The sequence below is a fragment of the Homo sapiens genome, chromosome 4 (assembly GCF_000001405.40).
Source record: "Homo sapiens chromosome 4, GRCh38.p14 Primary Assembly".
Lineage (NCBI taxonomy): Eukaryota > Metazoa > Chordata > Mammalia > Primates > Hominidae > Homo > Homo sapiens.
The window spans coordinates 175,629,392-175,653,605 of NC_000004.12; the positions used below are offsets into that span (position 1 = coordinate 175,629,392).

The 24,214-nt window shown below is 34.1% G+C and overlaps 1 protein-coding gene across 8 annotated transcripts in view; it reads right to left on the reverse strand.

The window, feature by feature from the left end:
- Positions 1 to 3,545: 3,545 nt before the first annotated feature.
- Positions 3,546 to 24,214, reverse strand: part of GPM6A (glycoprotein M6A) — a 369,457-nt gene continuing 348,788 nt past the window's right edge. For all 8 annotated transcript variants that reach the window (NR_048571.2, NM_001261447.2, NM_201592.3 and 5 more), the window contains 4 exons: positions 22,443 to 22,596; positions 11,362 to 11,438; positions 10,738 to 10,803; positions 3,546 to 5,666 (listed from right to left, as the gene is read on the reverse strand). Coding sequence is in view for 7 of the 8 variants with exons in the window: in NM_201592.3 (NP_963886.1) it covers positions 5,514 to 5,666; positions 10,738 to 10,803; positions 11,362 to 11,438; positions 22,443 to 22,596 (450 nt within the window). In the remaining variant the exon portion in view is untranslated. The remainder of the gene's footprint in view (positions 5,667 to 10,737; positions 10,804 to 11,361; positions 11,439 to 22,442; positions 22,597 to 24,214) is intronic.

Sequence of the window (24,214 nt, forward strand, 5' to 3'; positions counted from 1 at the left end):
AGCTGGAAACAGCAGATGGAAGATGGAAATTAGATAACTAAAAATTAGATTATGCATGGTTTGCAATTATTAGAAATTGTGAGTTTTTAGGATTTCAGTGGCTAGGGTGGGATGGGGTCAAAACCATTGGAGGAGAAGAAACAAATACCAGCCTTTGCAACTGACTTGTCAAGGTATTTATATTAATAACTGAAGTCTCCTCTTGGCTTACCAGAAACCTCTCTTGTTACTTCAAGCATTAATTTTACACTTATATAAATCAATAGGTATTCTATTCAGAGAAATGTGAATGGTACCTGATGATGCTTGGGTATTAGTTAGTAGATGTTAAGAAACCAAGGGAAAAAGTCTTAAGCTATTTGTGTCAACTTGTATAAACAGGATAACTTCGATGTTAAAAATGTATTTTTTTTTTTTTTTTGAGCCTGTTGCCCAGGCTGGAGTGCAGTGGCACCATCTTGGCTCACTGCAACCTCCGCCTCCTGGGTTCAAACGATTCTCCTGCCTCCGGCTCCCAAGTAGCTGGGACTACAGGCGCCCGCCACCACACCTGGCTAATTTTTGTATTTTTAGTACAGACGGGATTTCACCAAGTTGGCCAGGATGGTCTCGATTTCTTGACCTCGTGATCCGCCCACCTCGGCCTCCCAAAGTGTTGGGATTACAGGCGTGAGTCACCGTGCCTGGCCAAAAATGTGATTTTTCTACCATTTGCATTTATCACATTGTTAGCTCTAACCTACTTTGTGTACTACTTACAAGTTATGATCTAGGTGGCTTAGAAAACATAATTACTTTTAAGTCACGGAGGTGTCATTTGGTAAAATTATTGTCCTGTTAAGTTTCATTCTTGTGTTAAAGTAATTGGCTGAGTTATTCACACATTCCTTGAAGTGTTGTTAGTATTTCTTAAAACTCACTCCTTGTTTCTGGGAATCTTCTTTATATATCAAAAGGCTAGAATGACATCATCTTTTCTTTTGCAAAAGGTGATTAATAGATTAGTTAATAGGTGAACAGGTTTCTATAAAAAAAATAGACGTCAGAGTTAAATAATTTTAAAAGACCAGAAAAAAATTTGCTAATTCTCAATGCTCATTTACTAGAAAACACAAAAGAACTTCATAGTGGATTTTTAGTGGATCATATGGGTAAGCCTTTACCGGCATGTCAACTAATACATCGGCCAAAATGGTAATGTTAATTTATTTATGACAAGTTGTATAAATATTTCAGAGAAAAGACATACCAGTATCTTTGAGACACACCAAAAAATGTGGAGAGAGAGAAAAAACAATAAATCTGGTGCTTAAAATCTGGTGCTTACACACACATAGTTAGTATCCTAAGTGATACCAAAAAAGCACCTCTGCTCCATCTTTTGGTGCAATATTTTTTGATTATTGTTCTGTCCGATATACATGAAATGGTTTGGAGAATTTGACTCACACAGTTAGATTTATCTTCGAATATTATATTTCTATTCGGATGGCTCTCAAGAGACAAAAATAATTGTTGAAAAAAGTAAAAAAGCAAACATTGCAACACTTCTCTAAAGACAAAAATAGTTCCCATGTTTAAAATCAGAGCAGTGGTGTTGGGTAGCTGGATGGGATCAGCTCCTCTGTCAGTGGGTTCCAGGTTCTCGGAGACTAAAGAGTGTTCTCTTTAGTGTTCCAACACCTGGACAACGAATACTTGCTCAAGAACCTAGAGTGGAGGGCAAAGAACCCTGAAGAAAACAGTATATGCAGTCTCAATTATTTTTTGCATATTTTTTACTTAATATGCTATTATTTCTTGGTCTAATTTGGGGTTTTTGTAGTTTTGACTTTTTAAAATTATTCCTACATGAAATACATTGCTTCCAATAACATTGCTCTTTTCTTTCTCTCTCTTACTCAGAGAATAATAACAGAATTAGTTGGATTTACACTTACCGGCTCTTCTCCTTTCTATTTTTTAATTTTCCAATTGCTTGTTTATTTTTAAATTTTGTTTGGTATTTCCAACTATGTATAAAAGATTCTACAGATTAGCAATACAGTGGTCAAAATGATATTATTTCATTTAATATTTTATTTCATTATTCATTTAATAATGAGTTAAAGAATTGATTTCTCTCATTTTTAAGTTGTTTTCAATTTTATATTGCTAACCTGTGATGGGTTTTTGTGGTAAAGAGCCAAATAACCTAAAATGATCAGAAAGGTAAAATGTTTTTTGTAAGAAGAAACTCAAGGTCCTGGGCTTATTTAAGAAAATAAAAACACATTTGAGCTAGAAGCATTTTATACAGATTTGACTCCATTGACTTAAAACAATCTTTTATCTGAAAACCTCACAGGAAACCAAAGAGAATTTCTTCAAGATATTATAGTATAATTTAAATTGCATGGTGGTCATTATATTTCTGCTACCAGGTTGCCTAAATGAAATATATTTTAAAATCACCTGTTTCTATTTTGTCTAAGGCAAATAAATAAATAAAACAAAGATCTACTTGTTCTTTGAAGAAATCTGATATTTTTGTTTTAACATAAAGAATGAAACTATTTACATGCAAGTTAGAGCTGATCTACACACATCTTATTCTCAAAGTAAGTAATTTCCTTAGGCTTAATATTAACCTTAAAATTCTCAAAAGGAAATTACTTGCTTTAAGGATAAAATGCACATTTTTACAAAGAGAAATTGACTTTTCAGTTTTCAAAAATTATAATAATCTTATAATAATCCACTTTTTGTAAAGCATATATTATAAAATTGTTGTTCATATTCATATTGTGTAGTATACAATTATGTTGCAGCTATTATAAGGATTTAATAAACACTGGAAGTAAGAATTATCATTTAATAAGATATAGGTAGAAAATAATTTTATTTTCTTAAAAATAACTTTTAAAAACATAATTAAAATCCTTTGTCTACATCTACTTATAATTATTGTAGACATTTCTAACATAAGTTCATGAGGTTTTCATGTTCCCATTCAAAGTAATATGTAAGTAGAGACTAATATAATTCCTTAAGCCTTATGAAAGTTAGTATTTTTATTGATAACTATCTTATTATTTTTAACTTGCCATAACTTCTAGTTTGGCCAGAAGAAATCAGATCTAAAACATACAAAGCCTAGAAAAAATGTAAATACATTTAAATTTCATTGCTCTCACCTTTGTATTTTGAAGCAAACCAAGAAAGCATTTTTCTTTCTGAATTGCATTAGGCTTTTTTTTCTGTTTGTTTGTGAAGTACTAAAGGAAACACAAAACAGTAGAGATCAGACAAGAAAATGGCAGCACTCAGAAAAAGTTATCATTTTCTAAATAAAATAACCTCCAAAGTCTTTACTCCCTCTGTCCAGCATTCTGATATTGAATATTTACGCACAGAATCGTCATTGAATTTTGACGTGTTAGTTCAGCTCAGCTGAAGTAGAATCATAAGGGGATGGCATCTATTGTACTTGAAAAGAATTCACACACATAGGAAAGAGGAATAAACAAAACAAAAAAGAAAAAAAACAGATACACTGCAGAAGCTAATAATAAGTACACAAAGTACACAAGTGTATTTATTACATTTTGCAAGCACTCTGTTCTACATTTCAAAAACGCCACCATCAAGCTGTTGGCACATTTATGTACAAAACAGATTAATTGTAATGCCTGCTACAAAGCACTCTGTGAAAATACAAACTCTAATACCAGAAATAAAAGCCAAAAGTGTCAACATCATTACATAAGTTGAAAAGACAGTTTTAGAAATTATCACAAACTGTTAAGACACGGAACTGAAATACTATAATATAGAATTTAAAGAAGCCCATTAATACTTTTGCTGAATATCTGTAATACTGCATATATCAGAAAAATGTTGAACCAGTAAGATAATCTAAGCATAAAGAAAAGGAAGCAAAATGAACCCCAAATTAATTAAATAATACTACGGAATGCATAATCATGCCACAGATATCCCTAGTAGTACCCCCTACCTACTACAAGAACTTGTAAAATTACTGATGATGCATGACTAGTCATTGTACAAAGATTGTTTCACTCAATAAATTTTTATTAGAAATGCAGTTACACTGAGAAAGGATTTCACAATGGTCAAATCAGTGCACAATACTACCTAGTTTTATACACTGAAAAAAATGTCTTGTCAGGCTACATCATTTTAGAAGACACTTTACAGCATTCTTGTAGCATTAGAAATAATGAAAAGAAGAGCGTCAAGGTGAAAACAAACACCAAATTTGGTCCAATAATACTGATTGCTCTTTGTTAAAATTCCTTTGATACAGGTACTTTTTATAAATGAATATGAATGAACATTCGGTTAAAATGACTTACTTGAAATAAAAACACAAATATATCACTACACTTTCAAACAATACATTCTATAGGGGCCTCTGACCACACTTTATAAAACACTACAGGTAAACCAACATAGATTGGAAGGCTGCAAGCAAAGCTATTATATTAATGGAAGCCTTTTCAAATATATCATACACATTTTAGGAATAGTTTACAGAGGTGCAATCCATTAAAACTTTTAAAGTAGGTAAAACAACTTCCGAGGGGTTAGTGTGCTTATTTGTAATAAACCACCTTCATAAAGGTAATTAATTTTCCACATTAGCATATTAAAAGTTCCAATCCAGCCACTTCTTAAATCACAAAGAGATCATTCTTCAATAGTCTACAGTAGTTATTTCCATTAAAATTGTCTCTATATACTAAACTTTAAAAGGTAAGCCTGGTGTCACAATCTTAAAAAGGCAACTAGCCATGCATTAGCATTACTGTTTCTACATGCTCACAACATAAACATGAGTAATCTGAGGGAAATACCTTTTAAGAACATCAAGGAAAAGTACAATGTTAACAAAGATAAGAAGCACTTTTTTTTTTAAACCTACTCTTACAAATTTAGAAATTGCACCTTAGATTGATGAAAACATGAACCAGGGCCTACAGTAATATGGCCACTGATCTTCAGACAAAATTTCCATATTTCAAGAGTCATCAAGATGTAATCTCTATCTATTGTTCATAATGTACAATGGTCCCTTTGAAGGTTACCTGTAGTTAAACTAGTTACCGAAATCAAAACTAAAAAGTATAAAAAGCTATTTTCTTTTCAAAACATAAGAAATAATGCAAAAGGTGTTATGTATAACACATGGGAAGTGGTTAAAAATCAAACAAATCTTTGCATTTGACAATGTTAGTATCTTTGATTTTACAGAACTAGTAAATGAGTTTGAGAAATTTCAAAAAAAAGGCTGGATAGGAGCTTGTAGAAAAGATCTGATTTACATCAATTTAATAAATTGGGAAATTTAAGTGCTAAACAACAAAGAATTGTACTCAGGTGATTCATAAGTCACCTTACATATCATTGATGAGAAGCACTTTCGTTTTGTTTTTTAAAGGTTGGATGGTTGGATGGCCCTTAGTTAAACACCAATGCATTCAAATGGTAGAAAGAACAGGAAGATGCATTTATGTGTATGCATTGAGCCGCTCTTTGGAGCGAGTAGAGTGGATGTCATGAAGCTCTTGCTCTTCCTTCGACTTGATGTCTTCATACTTCTGCATCCGGCAGGCGTCTTTCACATAGGCCCAGTTGGCAGACAGAACCATAAGGTAGTGAACCTAATCAAAGAGAAAAATAATTTATATTGGAAGTTTGTTCAGTGTCTTCATTACACCTTGCTATCTCGAAAGAAGTCTTCGAATTATAGCTCTTTATAGGAAATGTTCACATATAAAATGGAAACAAAATTTCTTTGGTAACAGAAACAATATAAAATATATTTTCATTCCTCCAACTATATCCCACCATATTCTTGGCACCATTTCTTTCAGTATCTCTTTCTCCTTTTCAATTCTTGGAAGTAATCCAAAACTAATTCTTAGTCTTTATAGGATGTTTCCTGCCCAATGTGTCCTCATTTGCCCAAACCATAGATGATTCATTTCATGTTCATGTATCTATGTTTTATAATCCATAATCAGAAATATTTTCACATACCGTTGTGTCTAACTGACTTGAATTAATTGGAGGTTCTATTACCCCAATTAAAGAGAGATCATGGAAACCCCCAAATATACCTGTGGACTTGATTATCAGGTTAATTTTGCATATGATGAATTTTGTAGTTTCTTTTTGGTTATAAACTACAGGAGATAAAATATTGTGTTACATGGATTTTTTATATGTATATACATTCACAAAAACTGGAATAGTGCCATGTTCAAAAAGGAAGCTCCTGGTTTGTCTTGAGTAATGAAGTTGCTGGAGAAATAAAGCTCCTTTATTTGACTTGAGTTTACCCAGCAATGAGACCGCTTATTTGTTTTTCTTTTCTTTCTTCCCTCTTGGTCCACAGGGGAGATAAAGCAGCTTTCCACATGATGAATTTTGATGAATAGGGAAGAGAAACTAAGTTGACAGTTATTTACATTCTCTGAGTTTTAAAGGGTGGGCAATATTTTAATCCAACATTCAGAAAAATAGAACACTAAGATTTTGATAATTAGTAAACAGTACATTGAAAGAGGAGGCGGGCTGGTTCTAGAAAAGTACAGATGGATATAAAGAATGCAATGTCAATTCTAAATAATGAATATTGTGGTGTGTTCAGGTAGTCAACAAACAGCAAAAAACAAAATAATTTTGACACGGGATGTAGGGGAAAAGATGCATACCACTATAAATAACCTATTTTTAGAATTTTCTGTTTCCTCTGAAGTTTAGCATTTTGTTTAAGGAATATTGTAAGCCACCTGAAAGCAGGGGCTGTGAGTTATATTCTTGTACATTATGGCATTTACATAGTGAAAGCATAATCACTGTATATATATATATATATATATATATATATATATATATACATATATATATGGATTAAATAAGGCTTATACACATAATGAAGTTTATGCAGTATTTTGTTGCTGTAAAATATCAAGTGCTGTGGAGAGTGCTTAGTACATAGCAGATACACAAAATATTTGCCAAATAAATGAATGTATTTTTCAATCTTCAAAAACTTTTCATAATATCTGAGAAAATGTGGCCCCCAAATTATTATTAAATATGTATAATTGAGGCCAGGTGCGGTGGCTCACGCCTGTAATCCCAGCACTTTGGGAGGCCAAGGCGGGTTGATCACTTGAGGTCAGGAGTCCAAGACCAGTCTGGCCAACATAGTGAAACCCCATCTCTACTAAAAGTACAAAACGTAGCTGGGTGTGGTGCCACGTGCCTGTAATCCCAGCTACTCGGGAGGATGAGGCAGGAGAATGGATTGAACCTGGGAGGCAGAGGTTTCAGTGAGCTGAGATCATGATACTCTCCTCTAGCCTGGGCAACAGAGTAGACTCTGTCTCAAAAAAATACATATATATATTTACATAATATATATTATATATAAAATATATATTTTTATATTATATATATTTTACATACATGAGGAAGCACCTGTTTCTGAATTGGAGTGATCTTGAATTTCTTTTCAGTATTTCACTCATGCATATATATATATATATATGTATTTATATATATTTATATATGTAAATATATATAAGATAAAAAATATATTTATATAAAAATATATATAATACAAAAATATATAATATATTTATATATAAAATATTTGTAATATAAAAATATATAACATATAATATATCATATATAATATATTATATGTGATATATAATATATAATATATTATATATGATATATTATATGTCACATATAATATATCATATATGTGACATATATCATATATTATATGTGACATAATATATCATATATAATATAAAATATATATTATATATTATATATAATATAAAATATATATTATATATTATATATTATATAAAATATATATTATATATTATATATAATATAAAATATATATTATATATTATATATTATATAAAAATATATAATATATAACATATAATATATTATATAATATATAATAATATAATATAGTATATATATAAAAATGTATAATTATATATATAAAAATATATGGAGAGCCTTAGAAGGACTCCCAGTAACCTCATATATATATGACCTTTATATATATATAAAACCTTTATATTTTTATATATATAAAAATATACAATATATTATATATTATATAAAAATATATTATATATTATATAAAATATATTATATATTATGTAAAATATATAATATATAATATATATTATATATATATTATATATTATATAAAATATAAAATATATAATATATATAATATATATATAATATATAATATATTATATATTATATATATTTATATATAATATATTATATATTATATAAAAATATAATATATAATATAAAAATATATAATCTATATATAATATATAATATAAAAATATATAATCTATTTATATATTATATATAAAAATATATAATATATAATATAAAATATATAATCTATTTATATATAATATTTATATATTATATATATATATATACATATATGCATGAATGAAATACTGAAACTCAAGGTCACTCCAATTCAGAAACAGGTGCTTCCTCATGGTTCTTACAAGCATTTCCTCTGGCCTTAAGGGGAACCCAAGCTGCAGGGCTTATTACTGTCCCTCGCTAGGTGAACAGTGATTACTGAAATCTGGTCCAATGCTAAGTCGATTTACTTTGTCAGCATGTAGGACTTCCTAACTTCTCTACAAATAATGGAGTAGAGTAGAACAGAATAAGTTCTTAAGAAATATTATTAATAACATTACAATTACTATTCTCAATTTTTAATATTAAGTTTTTAAGAAATATTATTAATAATAAAGTCCCTGCTTTATTATTCCTGGTACTAGCAGCATTAGTACCAGGAACAGTAGCAGTAGTTATATTTTACCTGTCTCCCAAGACCTACATCATTATCAGAGCTAATAAATTGGAAATACTTAGGTCAATCATTTAAGCTAGTATGGGGTTTTGTGATGACTCTAGACAGAGAAAATAACCCCCAAATAATGCTTAGTACTTGAAAAAATAATCTTCTAAGCTTTCTGTTTTAAATAAAATGTACGTATAGCTTTAAGTATATGCAAAGCATAGATTGCTTAAGAAATACATAATATATAAATTTCTATCATCTCAAAATCTGTTGATTTGTTTTGAGAGTAAGCATTTTCAGGGACATTTAAATAACATTTGTCTAAATAGGTGTTTTTCACTAGTGTATACCTGTATTTTTAGACAGAATTTTATATGCACATATATGTAGCAAATGCAAACAAATATTTATTATAGTCCACTTTTTAAAAGATACCTTCACAGACTTCTTGTACCTGGGTATATATTGCTTGTACATACCCGTGTCATTAAAGTTTTTGACAGCATAGAAATGGGTGTATGAACACAAGGGTACATATGTTTCCTCTGATATCACAACCAGCATGTTTTCTCCTAAGGACAATAATGTTTGGTATATCATTGGCCAGAACTTGCTGATTCTTCCCCAGGGCATAGTTTAGCATTAATTTTAGGTTGAGAATATAAGGCCTTTGCTTTTGTTCTATTTTGATCCCCCCAATTAATCAACCAACATGATCCTTATCAAGCGTCTCACGTTCTGAAACAAAATTTCTATATAGAGGTTTATTCTATATAGAGGTCACTGTATCAAAAATGTTGAGCAACGCTAAAGTAACAAAACATCAAAAATTCATGTTAGTACTGACATAGTTTTATTGAATATATATGTAAGTCATTTTTAATAAAACAAATTAAATACAAAATATTTATGAAATCAGTAAAATAACCACTCTGACATGGCTAATTAGCACATTAGTATTTTCTCATCATTCTTATTTTTAGTCTCTGACAAGAGAAAAACATTTTTTTATGAAAGTGTTCCTTTCACCAATACATTAGATAGATATTGGCACCATGAGGAAAATAATTAAATAAATTCCAATTCATTCACCATCTTTACATATTGACTCGGCTGTCACAGTCGTGAGGTTACTGGGAGTCCTTCTAGGGCTCTAGACTACTCATCCTCAAGGATACAAACAAAGACTGAAGATATTGGCTGCAAAAGCTATTACTGACACTCAGAGCACTTGCTCAGGGTTGATATTTGGCATTCCAGTGGGCATACTGGAACTCATGCCAAGTTAGAAAGGAGGAGACTGGCTCTGGCACGTGGTAGATCCTCCTCATTGTGTAAAAGCTTGATGTCTTAAAAGAAGATCTAAAGACTGGCTCTTAATATTTCTGAAGCAAATTAGATATAGAAGACATGACTTGAAACTACTGACATTTGTTTTTTTTAATAACCTAATTTGTTTTTCATAAATGACTCTATATGGCTTTTTAATGTTCTTAGCTAAGGAAAAAAAAGTAAATCAAGGAATTGATTAGATTACTCACAATGTCACATTGGTATGTACATATATGCTACAGAAATAATTTTTATATTTATAGTAATCTAATATCTAAAATCCTAATGAATTACTATTTTTGTTAATGTTCTCAATATGGTAATAATAATATTTCTTGGGGTTTAGTCTTGTTGTTGACTTACTTACCCATTGTTTTCCCTACTTTTTTTAATCTGATGACATAAATGTGTTTTACATGAACTTCAAACTTTAGAGATAGTTTATCATCTCTACAAGCAAATAGCTTTGGAATTCACATTGAAAACCAAGCACCAGCGCTTTGAGGTCTTACCATAGCAATGACTGCTGCCCCAGCTCCAGCAAGTGCCACAATAAACAAGTGGAAGGTCATGTTCAGCTGCAATGGAAACCACAGAGAATCAAAAGGTGTCAGAGTTATAGGTAGAAGAGAAGTCAAGATTGCTACTGTCTTATAAACAAGACTTTGTACATCTTAAATAAAAGCGAGCCTGTGATAAATCACCCACCTGATTAAAACAGATTATTACAATATATTTTCCCCTGCAAATCATTTAAATCCTTTCAACTTCATCATTATAACATAATTTCATTATAAAGATGAGACAATGATTAATAATGATGGTTTTCATCAGTAACATTATAACAATATAAGGAGGGCTATGCTCTCTTTAAAAACAACTTCATCATGTTTTCAGCCTTCATTAAAATGAGTTTCCAGAAAATTTGAAATAGTTATTATAATTTTTATTGAAATATGCAGAGCATCTAATTCCTATTTATCCTCTACTCCTCCTGAATAACACTACTTCAGGTAAAATTGCCTCTGATAGAATAAAGGGAAAAGTCAATATAGATTTAGTTTTAATACATTATCCAAATAATAAAAAATGAATGCTAAAATTCTGACAAAATTAAAGGCTGTAAAAACACTCACCTCAGTAGATTCGCACATCCTCAAGAAATTCTCAGAGACAGTACAAATTTTCTTTTCCTCTCCAATTGTCACAATTCCTACAATGTGTGGGAAATGACAGTTTAGCAGTATAAATGTTTTGAAGAGCCAAGAGAGAAAAAAATGAGTTTTTGCTAATCAAATCTAAGCAAGTTCCATTTTATCTTATGTTATGTTACAGTGGAAAAATAATCTAGCTTTCATTGTGGATAATAACTATGCATAGAATTATGAATATAATATGCAAGACTATTTAGCCCTCAAGCAATTTAAATAATTTCAATCTGAATTCAATTGAATCTCACCACCAGAATTTCCAGACTCAATTATAGCCAGTTTATTGGTTTGGCCCATTAATGTGATAGTATAGGCATCACAATTATTTTGTTAACTATGCCCCAGACTGTGCTGAAGTCAGGATCTAAATTTGTTCAGCTGGTGCAGTGCTTCTGTTAATCTCTAAAAGCATACTGCCCAAAGGAGTACTTTTTTTTCTGCCAATATTGCAAACAATGCTATTAGTAACAGGAAATGAAAAGTTGCCATTTCGCTTCTATTTACCCTTGTTCCAGTTGGTTCATAGACCAACAGCATTAGAATCACCTAGGAAGTTGTCAAAAATATGTATTTTTAGACTCTAACACAAAACTGATAGATGGGAATCTATGAATATTAGGCCTAGAACACTGCATTTTTAAAACGAGCACAGAGGCAATTCACTGGCACGCCTCTTTGTCTCATCTTAGAGAGCAAAAGTAACCAAGTTCATCTGAGCATGGCTCTTTAATTTTATTTTCTGAACTCTTGAAGTGCTAAACACATACAGGCATGATAAAACATTTTCAGGACATTCTAATACCTAAGATTTTAGCATTTTCTGCTCTTTAGTTGTTTTTGTTATTGTTGTTTTATTTTCATGGTTTGTTTTGTTTTGTTTGAGACGGAGTCTCACTCTGTCACCCAGGCTGGAGTATAGTGGTGCAATCTCAGCTAATTGCAACCTACGCCTCCCGGGTTCAAGTAATTCTCATGCCTCAACCTCCAGAGTAGCTGGGATTACAGGTGCCCGCCACCACACCCAGCTAATTTTTCTGTTTTTAGTAGAGACGAGTTTCACCATGTTCACCAAACTGGTATCAGACTTCTGACCCCAAGTCATCTGCCCGCCTCAGCCTCCCAAAGTGCCAGAATTACAGGTAGGAGCCACGGTACCAGGCCTTCTTTATTTAGTTTTAATATGTATATGTATTTACATATTCTTAGCTTTATGGGGTGTCATCAACTCTCCCTCTCTTACAGAGCTGCTGCTATTAGTTTGTCCTTTGCCAATAGTTTGTGGAATCTATTTCAGTGTGAAAAATCTATTTGCAGTAAACAAACACAGAGATCCCTCTCTACAGCCTTTCCTTTCTGCCAAGATGGTTCTAAGAGTGGGTAAAAATTTAAAAGGGTTCTCTCATGAGATTTCCTCCCTAAAAAATCACCATTGTTGAAAAAGCTTCTGGTCAAGGCTCTCTCTCTTCATAGTAATCCATTACAGACTTTATTTTGTGGAATATTTATGTTGTGCTTACATTTCCTTATTCATTTCTCAATTCATGTTTTCAGCAAAACACCTAGAAAGTGTTGCCTAACCTCACTGTAATTCCTTTCCTTTCATTTCTACTTAAATCCTCTCAAGTCAGATTTTGCCCTAACCCCCCTCCATGGAAATTTTCTTATAAAGATAATAATGACCTCCAAGGATTAATTCTCAGTTTTCATCTTCTTGCAAGTTGACAGTATTAAACACAGTTGATGCCCACCTTTTCCTTCATGCTCTCTTCATTTGTCTTCTAAAATCTACAGTTTTCAGTTTTTGCCTTTCTGATCTCATTGGCTCCTTCTTCTCATATTTTTGTCTGTTGCCTCCTCTTCTCTCTGACCTCTTAAGTTGCAGCTTCCCACCCTTCACTCCTCAGCCTTTTTTCTCCCATGCATATCTCATCCAGTCCCAGATATTTAAATACTGTCAACAACTCCTAAATCTATGTGGCCATCCCATATCTCTCTTCTGAAATCAGGATTCATATATCCAATTTCTCATCTGACCATTCTATTTGGATTTCTAATAAGCATTTTAAAAAAACTTCTGCTCTTCTCCTTTGCTGGCTCCACTCCCAAGCAAACACTTCTCATAGCCTTTCCTATCTTTCTTGATAGCAAATCTTACCATTTGCTCAGTCAAAAGAAATTCCTCCTTGAATTCTCTTTTTTCCCCCGCAAACCCTACATGCAATCTATCAGGAAATTCTGCTGCCTCTATGTTCAAAATACATCCATAATCAGACCGATTCTTCCCACCTCCCTTGCCATCTCCTCATCCAAGCCACCAAAATCTCCCACTTGGATTAATACAATCATTTGCTAACTGGCTTCCTTGCTTCTACCCTTCCTACAAACCATTCTTCAAGTAGCAGCTAGAGTAATCCTTCTATTATTAGTCAGACCATCTCCTGCCTCTGCCAAAATCTGTAATGACTCTCTACTCCCCTCAGAATAAAACCCCACACCTATAATGTTCTGTAATGCATTCATCAAGATGGTACATCGTGGGAACTCATAGACTTCATCTCAGTCTTTTGTCCTACTGTCTTGTTCTACTTCAGACACATTGACTTCCCTGTTGTTTCCTGAGAAACCAGGTATCACATTGGCTTGGTAACTTAGCACCGGCTCTTCTCTCTGACAAGAATATTCCCAGAGCTGAGCTACTCCTGTCCTTCAAATGACAACTGCTCAGTGCAATTTTTCTACATCATTAAAAAAAAATACTATCGTTACAGTAGGTAGTCAGACATGAGCAGAGCAAGAGAGACCCCAACTCACCGCCCACCAAGGATGTCAGGCCACCATCAGGTGACAGTCAGGTAGTTGTTAACTGTCTTTCTAAAATAATAATTAGTCACAGCTGGCTCCTAATAAAGAAACACCTGTAGCTGGTGATCGGCAGCTTCTTGATCTGAACTCAGGAGTTGCAGAAGCGGGCTCAAGCCTGCACACTAAGAGGCAAAATGGCAGAGTGTAACTGATATATGACCTTCCTCTAGGAACACTCAAATGAGCATGTGTGCAACTCCAGAAAACACAGTGCACATACGGTCCTTCCCAAGTGCCGGCCACCCACTGCACATGCGGACAGCCCACCTCAAGGGAAGAACCAGGTGAGAAGTATGCAAGACCCTAGAAGAAGGCCAATGTATAAAACCCCAAGTCAAAAGATCCAACAGGGTACTTGATCTCTCAAGTCTCCCGCTTGGCCCTTTTCCAACTCTACTTTCTTTCATTCCTGCTCTAAAACTTTTCCGTTTGTTTTTTTTTTTTTTTTTTTTGAGATGGAGTCTCGCTCTTTTGCCCAGGCCAGACTGCAGTGGCGCTATCTCGGCTCACTGCAAGCTCCGCTTCCCGGGTTCACGCCATTCTCCTGCCTCAGCCTGCTCTAAAACTTTTTAATAGACTTTCACTCCTGCTCTGAAACTTGCCCCGGTATCTTACTCTGCCTTATGCCCCTCAGTTGAATTCTTCCTTCTGAGGAGGCAAGAAGTGAGGTTGCTGCAGGCCCATATGGATGTACCACTGCTAACATCATTACTGAACCTCCAGTACTCCTGATGCTATATGTATATGTGTATATATACACACACACGCACACATAAAATAAAGTTTTTGTGATAAGTATACCATATATAACAAATAGATATAATATATATTAAAAATTAACTGTAGTTTAAAAATCAACATGTGAATAATATGAAGCTCTAGAAGGGAGCACGTGGAGGATGAGCTGCAGTGTAAATTTGAAAACCTGATTATTTTGATTCTCATATATCTGTCTATGAATGGCCAAATTGTTCTCACCAAAAATTAAGAACATTATTCAAATTTATATCAATTTTTCTAAATATTGAATATATATATTTATTACCTATGGAAAAGTTTTTAGCTGAAAGGTGCAGACTGATATTTTCAGTTTCTTCAAAGCAATTAGGAGAAAAGGCAAGTTATAAGCAAGGGAGGCCAGGCGCAGTGGCTCACGCCTGTAATCCCAGCACTTTAGGAGGATGAGGCAGGCGGATCAGCTGAGGTCAGGAGTTCAAGACCAGCCTGGCCAACATGGTGAAACCCCGTCTCTACTAAAAAAATACAAAAATTAGCCAGGCGTGGTGGTGGTCACCAGCTACTTGGGAGGCTAAGGCAGGAGAATCGCTTGAACCCGGGAGGTGGATGTTGCAGTGAGACGAGATCACGCCACTGCACTCCAGCCTGGGCGACAGAGTGAGATTGTCTCAAAAATAATAAAAATAATAAGCTGAAACTAGGCAAGAGAAGCATTAAGAACTGGGTGCAAAGAGAATTGGGGAGAACAGGGAGGACTTGATGCATGAAAGTTGCAGTAACGGGCTTCTTTAGTACCTTATATTTTTCATGCTAGCTAAACACAAGTAATATATTTCTGGAATTGTGAGAATTATTTGTACTTGAAATATGAACAACGTCAGAGAAAATGATGCGTAATGTGTGTACACGGTTCCTATGACTTTCATCACTAAGGCAATAAAAACCTTTGGTGCTTACTGGACAGTTGAAGTGCGACTCCTAGGGTTGTAAATTCCTCTTAAGAAAATTGTAGGCCGGGTGGGGTGGCTCACGCCTGTAATCCCAGCACTTCGGGAGGCCAAGGCAGGTGGATCATTTGAGGTCAGGAGTTCGAGACCAGCCTGGCCAACATGGTAAAACCCCGTCTCTACTAAAAAAACAAAAATTAGCCAGGCATGGTGGCACACGCCTGTAATCCCAGCTCCTCGGGAGGCTGAGGCAGGAGAATTGCTTGAACCTGGGAGGCAGAGGTTTCAGTGAACCGAGATGGCGCCACTGCACTCCAGCCTGGGCGACAGAGCAAGACTCCGTCTCAAAAAACAAACAAACAAACAAAAATTGTAAATGAGAGTTGGAGTTAAGCAGAATGAGCAGATACTTATGACACTCTGAGGTCTGATAGCACGATAGGAATTAACTCCCTACTATGAAATATAAATGCTTAAATTTAAAAATAATTTATCATTTACGTTGCTAATTTTAAAGATGATAAAATACCAGCATGTCCTTTTGCAGATTCTAGAGACCACCCACTTCCCCTGGCTCTAGGGGGGTTTTCTTTATTTTCAAAGTCAGCAACAATGGATCTTTTCATACCCTTCCTCTATAGTCCATCTGCCTCTGAATGACTCCTCTCCTTTGGCCCTACTTTTCATTTTTAAGGATGCTTCTGATTACATTGATGCCACCTGGATAATTCAGGCTCGTTACTTTCTTAAAATCAGTTGATTAGCAACCTTAATTCCATCTGTGACTTCAATTCCCCCTTGACATGTCACCTAACATGGGAATACCAAACAGAGGCTTAGCCTACACAGGAAAAATATAACCAATATTTTACCAAATGAATTATTGAATTATTTAGCAGAAATGAATATAGTTCAGTAATTAGCAATGACACATAGCTAGATATACAAAAGAATTCCTATTAGGAGTATATGTATCTAATTTTTATGCAAACATAAAGTGTCCTTTTGAATAGCACACACTTAGGTTAAAAGCGCTATTTATTTCTAGTTTCAACTCTATCTTCTGTTACATCTTGGACAAATAATGGAATATTCCTAGGTCTTGGCTGTCTTCTCTAGAGAAAGTATGATGAGCCAGGTTCATGATGTAAGTGTCAAACTTCATTTTATATTTTTGTCATGAAGATATTTTTCTTTCAAAATTGAGCAGTACTAGCACATGACACAATTTTTCCTTAAATATTTGTTGAAAATGAAACCAACCCAATTGTCCCATGGAAATGATATTTGTGGGTTTTTGAACAAACATAGAAATTAACCCTGCTGGTCTTAAAACTTGAAATTTACATTTGTCTCATCTGAGTTCCTCCCTCAGGAAACTCACCATCAGGCAAGGGACTGAAGCTGACCAGATCACCACATCTAGACAATGAGATGCCAGACTCTCATTCATGGTTACCTCCTTATCCCCTAATTCCTGTTTTACATTCCTTATTCACTATATGACCCCACCACCAATTTTAGTGGTAGGGAGACAGATTTGAGACTGATCTCCCATCCACCTCGGCTGCAGTGCCTGAAAAAGCCTTCCTTCCTGGCAATACTTTCTGTCTCAGTGACTGGCTTTCTGTGTGGCGAGCACTGTGACCTAGATCGAATCCCTGCTTTCAGCAACAAAAATAGTGTGAGCAAATAAATGAAATGAAATCCTACTGAGAAGTGCTTTATGGAAATAAGATAAAAACAAGCTGCTCTCGCTAACATGCGTGGGTGTGCTGAATAAGAGGTAGGATTGGCTAAAAGTCTAAAAGAAGCCCCACCTACTTTCTCTCTGTGTTGGCTCTTAAGTTTTATCAAGTCTTCAGGTTGTAATGGAGGAAAGTTTTAAACCTTACATCTAGATGATGTAATGAGGATCAGTTTCAACATTTCCTCACATAAAGTTATGGGGATAAACATCTAATACATCCAATGTAATTGAATCACAGAATATATAATTGGAGGATAACAGAAATCATAATAAAAGCATCAAAAATACGAATAAAATTATTTCATGAGCAGTTTGAAATACAGCAAATCCTAATATGATATGCTATCTATAAATCCTCCAACTATATCAAGTAATGTCTCTGTGTGCCATTAGAACTGTTCGAAATGCATAAATTTATTACATGCATGGGAATGAACAGTAAGATGTATACCTCCACTAAGTAGGTATAATGGCCATTATAGGCTGAGAGTTCCTATTACATATTAAATACCTAGTCTCCTGTAAAATAAAAGATAGCGTCTATATACTAAGGAGACAACTCTGCAACAAGGGAAATTAAAGTATATTCTTATCTATGCAATTGTCTTTTTGATGAATATTAGTAAATTCTGAATTGATCCTAATACAATGTTTGAGGAATGGTTCTCTTCTGATGCTTCTTGATAATAATGTGGTTATATACATACATTCAGGAGTCTTATCAGGACATATAATCTGGAGGGCAAATAAATGCTATACAGCAATAGATTTTATATTAAGAGCTAAACAGAACGTCTTAATAGCTCATGTAAAGGCTGCATGACATCTAAAAAGTGCCTTCTCTTTCTTTCAAATCCATAAAAGAAAAGGTACCTTTGGATAAATATTGATAAATATGTTGTAAACATTGGTAAGCTTCAAAGAATAATTTTAACCACATATTTATGCTTTACATAGTATAGAAAGAAATAATATAGCACATTCTTTTCTTTTTTTAAAAAAAAAAGACAATCAGAGGTATGAACTAATGAGATTGAAATAAGGTTTTTGACTTTGAGTTGATGCCATAATGGGATGAAACCTTTGGAACTTGGGGTAGGTTGAATGTATTTCACACAAAGAAATGGATGTGTATCTTTGGTGGCCAGAGAGTAGACTGCAGTAGGCAAAAAATAGCCTCCCATAGATGTTCACATCCTTAACTCCGGAACTTGTACCTGTGTTGGAGTAAGCCGTGAAGGGGAATTAAGCTTGCAGAATTGTCAGGGAGAGGCAACTTTGCTGGCTTTGACAGAAAATGGACTGCCATCATGATCAAGTAAATGTAGGAGATCACAAAAACAGTAAGCAGTTTGGGAAAAAAATTGACCTTGGCTTTCGATACTGTATCTGTCTCCTATTGCTGCTGTAACAGATTGTCATAAATGTAGTGGCTTAAAGCAACACAAGTTTGTCTCTTACAGTTCTGGAAGACAAAGCTAAAACCAAAAGGTCATCAGGGCTGCACTTCTCTGGAGGCCCTAGAAGCAGGAGCAGCTTCCTTTCCTATTCCAGTTTCTCCAGGCCACCCACATGCCTTGGCTCTTGGCCCCTTTTCTCCATCTTTAAAGCCAGCAACACTGCATCTTTCTGCCTTTTTTCTATAGTCTGTCTATCTCTGACTGACTCTTCTCTTCTGACTCTCTCTTCCACTTTGAAGGATCCTTGTGATTACACTGGGCCCATCTGGCTAATCCAGGATAATCTCCCCATTTTAAGATCAGTTGACTAGCAACCCTAATTCCCCATTGAAAGTAATCTCACATATGTATATGTTTCAGGAATCAGAATGTGTACATCTTTGAGGATCCTTTATTCTGTCTACTTAATAGACTAATGGTTTACTCAAGATTATAGTTGAAAAAAGCTCTTTTGCTAAAAATTGTATTGGAAAAGCTGTCGAGTAGAAAATAATTGTGCTAAGATTCAGGACACTCCCCTTTCAATCCCAGCACGGCCTGCTGGGTAGCTATATCCCTGGAAAATTATTTCATTTCTTAGGGCTCCATTTCTTTTAGACCAGACAGCTGGACTGGTGACAAATGAAGTCCATTTATAAAATTCTATGGCTCTAAGACATATTCTGTGCTTAATGTCATAAGGAATCCTATATACTTAGTGGTATAAGCCTTAATACTTTCAGTGAAATTAGGTTAATTTGGGGATCACAAGCACTTGAATGCATTGAGAATTAATAAGTTTTTCTCTTTTTAAAGTTGAAAATATTAAGAAGGTCTATTTATCTTTTACAAAGGATTATTCTTTCTGTCCTTTAGAAAACAAACTTGGGGAAATTTTAAATATTATTTTTCTAGAGTCTCCCAATGTTTTTTCAGTTTAGAATCTGGTTTGATAATACCAAAGACCTTATAATCACCTACTTAACTATTTGCATTTATTATCCTACAGGAAATGAAATGTTCCTAATCAGAGCATGCTAATCTCTCGTGTATTTCTGAAAGTATAAACCATCACATACAAGAGAATCCGACCCTCATGTTTTCCTGTGGTAACACTTTCTTAAGATTAAACCGAAGCTCTGAGAGTAGGGTTAACAGATTTAACAGTGAAAGCAATCTCAGTGTCCCTTAGTTAAACCTGAATTTCAGATAAAGAACAAATCATTTTAGTATAACTATATCCCATACAATATTTGGTACCATACTTGTAATAAAAAATATAGTTTGTTCATCTGACACTCAAATTTAACTGGGTGCCCTGTATTTTAACCTGGCAACCCTATTTGAGAGGCTAATCACATATTTTCCAAATTTAACTTTTAGGATCAGCAGAATAAAAGGAAGACATTTAGGACAAGGGGCAGAGAGCAGAGCCACGGCCTTCTAAGCAGCTGTTCTGCAGTGACCTCCAGTAGCATTTGCTGTGGGCTCCTTTTCCGATATTTACAGGGGATTTGATTTTGAGAGTAAAACCTCCCCAATGTCCATATTCCCTCTTGCCAAGAACGTCACCCATAGAGCATATTATTCTGCTTTTCCCCCCGTACACATGTACATATGAGTACTATTATTATGTGAGATTTTTGCCCTAAATAAAATAAAACAAAGAGGACTGCTCACTTATTTGGCACTCTTTGATTTCATTATTTTATTTATTTATTTATTTATTTATTTATTTATTTATTTATTTATTTATTTTGAGATGGAGTCTCACTCTGTTGCCCAGTCTGGAATGCAGTGGCACCATCTCAGCTCACTACAACCTCTGCCTCCTGGGTTCAAGAAATTCTCCTGCCTCAGCCTCCCACGTAGCTGGGACTACAGGCATGTGCCACCATGCCTGGCTAATTTTTTAATTTTTAGTACAGACAGGATTTCACTATGTTGGCCACGCTGGTCTCGAACTCCTGACCTTAGGTGATGTGCCTGCCTTAGTCTCCCAAAGTGCTGGGATTACAGGTATGAGTCACCACGCCCCACCTGATTTCATTATTATTAAATGCGAACTAGTGTACTGTAGTGGATCACACTACACGGGGACTGAAGGCTTCATCTTGTAGGATGGTGGGTGAGCCACTGTTCTGAACACACAGCTAGTTGGCTACCCTATAATCTACTTACAGTATAACTGTAAAGCCACAAGCCCTTCATACCCCATCTAAGTGAAATGTCTCCTACTTTTCTGAAGTATGAGGAAACCTCATTAGAGAAAAACGCTCAGTGTCCCCAGGTGTTAGTAGGGTGGCTTTTAATGTCTGTTCAGAGAAAAAATAATCCATTTGCAAATATGGATTTGCATGTCTTTTATAAATTCTGTAGCTCCCATAATGTTACACATGATAACATAGAATCTCAAATAGGCTGAGATTATACTCTACCTTTCCACTTCCAGCTCAGTACTAAGTTTTAATATGAAAGGCAGTTGACTTATGAGCAAGAACACAGCCTCTGATTCAACCTGCGTTGCCCGTGTTTGAATCCTATCTCTGTCAGTTGCTAGCTGTATAAACTTGGATAAGTCACTGAACAACCCCACTGTGCCTCAGTTTTGTCATCTACAAAAGAAGAAAACAGTATGGCCTACTATATAGAGTCATGAGAAGTAAACAATGTGACACATGTGAAATACTTAAAATAGGGTCTATATGTGGTAAATCCATATACATATGAGTATTATTACTACATGAGATTTTAGCCCTAAATGAAAATAACCAAAGCAGACTCCTAATTTATTTAGCGTTTTTTTTTTTGTTTTTATTATTATTAAATGCTAATTAAGATGCTGCCCTCCCATTTCAGAAGACAATGAACTGTGCCCTTCTTAGGTGATCTTTATTGTAGACTTGACATTTTGTGCAGTTTATCATGGGAGGATAAAAGTAGAATGCAGACATCACGTTGAGTTTGGAAAAGAGCAAAGGAATCAAGAAAAGGAAACCACACTTCTAACCTGTCAATATCAGGTAATGTGATCTGACATCCTGGTCAATATACATGTGTATATGTTGTGATATTAACATCCATTCACCCTTGACTTTCTACTTTAAATTTAAAGGGAATAGCCTTAGCAGTAATACTCTGATAAATTTATCTCTGTGGTAGAAAAGGTACTGATAATTCCAAAGTGATCTATAATATTTTAGAGGCAGCTATGTAGGTAACACAATATGGGATGGTGTTTTACAGTTTAGAGATCCAATATCCACTTACCAAACTGACGAAGGTCCAAGCAGAGATTTGCTCCCTCCACTAATGTGGTGTTCCGGCAGATGGTCCACAGATTGAAGTACATGTAAACTGGCAGTGAGGTGAAAGCCGTGACTCCCAGCCAGGCCAACATGAAAAGATATGTCAGCATAATGAACTGCAAAAGAGAAAGAAATGGAGAGAGAAAATGTAATCTACCAAAAAAGAAGAATTTTGTGTTTAATCTGCAAAGCTCCATTATAGGAAGTTTATGGGATACAGTACATAAGTCAGTATCACAACACTGTTGATTTGCAGCACAGAAGGTTGAGAAATAGTGCGCATAATGGGTTAAGTGAATAAACCTGCTGGAAAATCATATCTTGGCAGAAGTTCTGATGTACAAAGAAAAAAATAATCCATCTGCATTATCATGCCTCTTCATCCATGTATTTAACTTTCAAATCTCACCACAGATTTTTTTTAAACTTTAGAAAATATTCCTGGGTATTTAGAAAGTATTCACTTTGCAAAAGGAATTCAGGAGAATTAAAAGTCTGTCAATAAATTTCCATAGGACTAAACTGTCATCATGTCATGTCGCAAATATTTAAGCTATTTAATCATGTTTACCATTAACAAATATGGCAATTCTCAAATCACATTAGTATATAATATTAGTGTGTACTCTTCTAACATTTTTATAAACTTAAGTCTGTTTTGTTTTATGCATGTTAATATACATATTTTATATATAGTATATACACTTATATATGGTAAAATATTATTTTAATTTTGAAAATACCCAAGCTTTAAAAATACATTTCAGAAACAATTTTTAATATTTATAAAGTGTATACAAGGTGTTCATGTATCCTAGATAGAATTGAATAAAATACTTAGTTTAAGCATGGATTTACATGAAGCTTTAGTTCACACATGGTAAATGCTGGATAAAAGGACATGTAGATGTATGAATTAGTGGATGGATGATAGACATTAGACAGAAAACTGTCTGAAATATAGCCCCTGGATGCCAAAATCTACATTTCTATAGATATTTGGTTCTTCTGAATTTCAGAAGTACACTTTGATCAAAGACTGGAATAGATTCACTAGTGCATTCTGGCTAAACTTCTAACACCTCAAGTAGTCACATTTTCAAAATAGCAGTACAGCATATAATAAATATACTGAATGAAACTAGACCTCTTATTCAACCCTATTCATCCCTTTTGTGATGAGTTATTAGCTAGATTTTACCCCACGATTTAGGTGAAATCTCAAACAAGTCAAACTTATTCAATAACCCTCATAATATATACTAAAATTAGCACTTTTGCAAAATAGTAAAATGGGAATCAATCCCATGATAGAACTTATGCACGTATATTAAAGTTATATTGCGATTAACATAGAGTTTATTGGGATTAAGGATAGCAAGGAATTTATATGACAAATATAAAGAGAGGCAGGAGATCAAACCTTTTTATTAAATAGCAGTTACTAAATGCCCCAGTACTTCAGAACCCCAGAGCATTCTCAAACACATGTTTTCTAATAATATTGTTTTATCTCATCTCAACTCTTACTTCCTTTTTGTCTCTACTATGAAATGCTAATAGTTGGGGTCAACATCTGTCTCAACAACGTCCTTAAACTAAGATTTGGCAGACATATTTATACTTTATACATCTAAGATGAAACAAACCCTGCCTTAAGAATATTAGCAAATAAAATTTGCTGAATATTAATTTATTTAAATCACCGAAGGAAGGAGAGTAACTATCATAAAA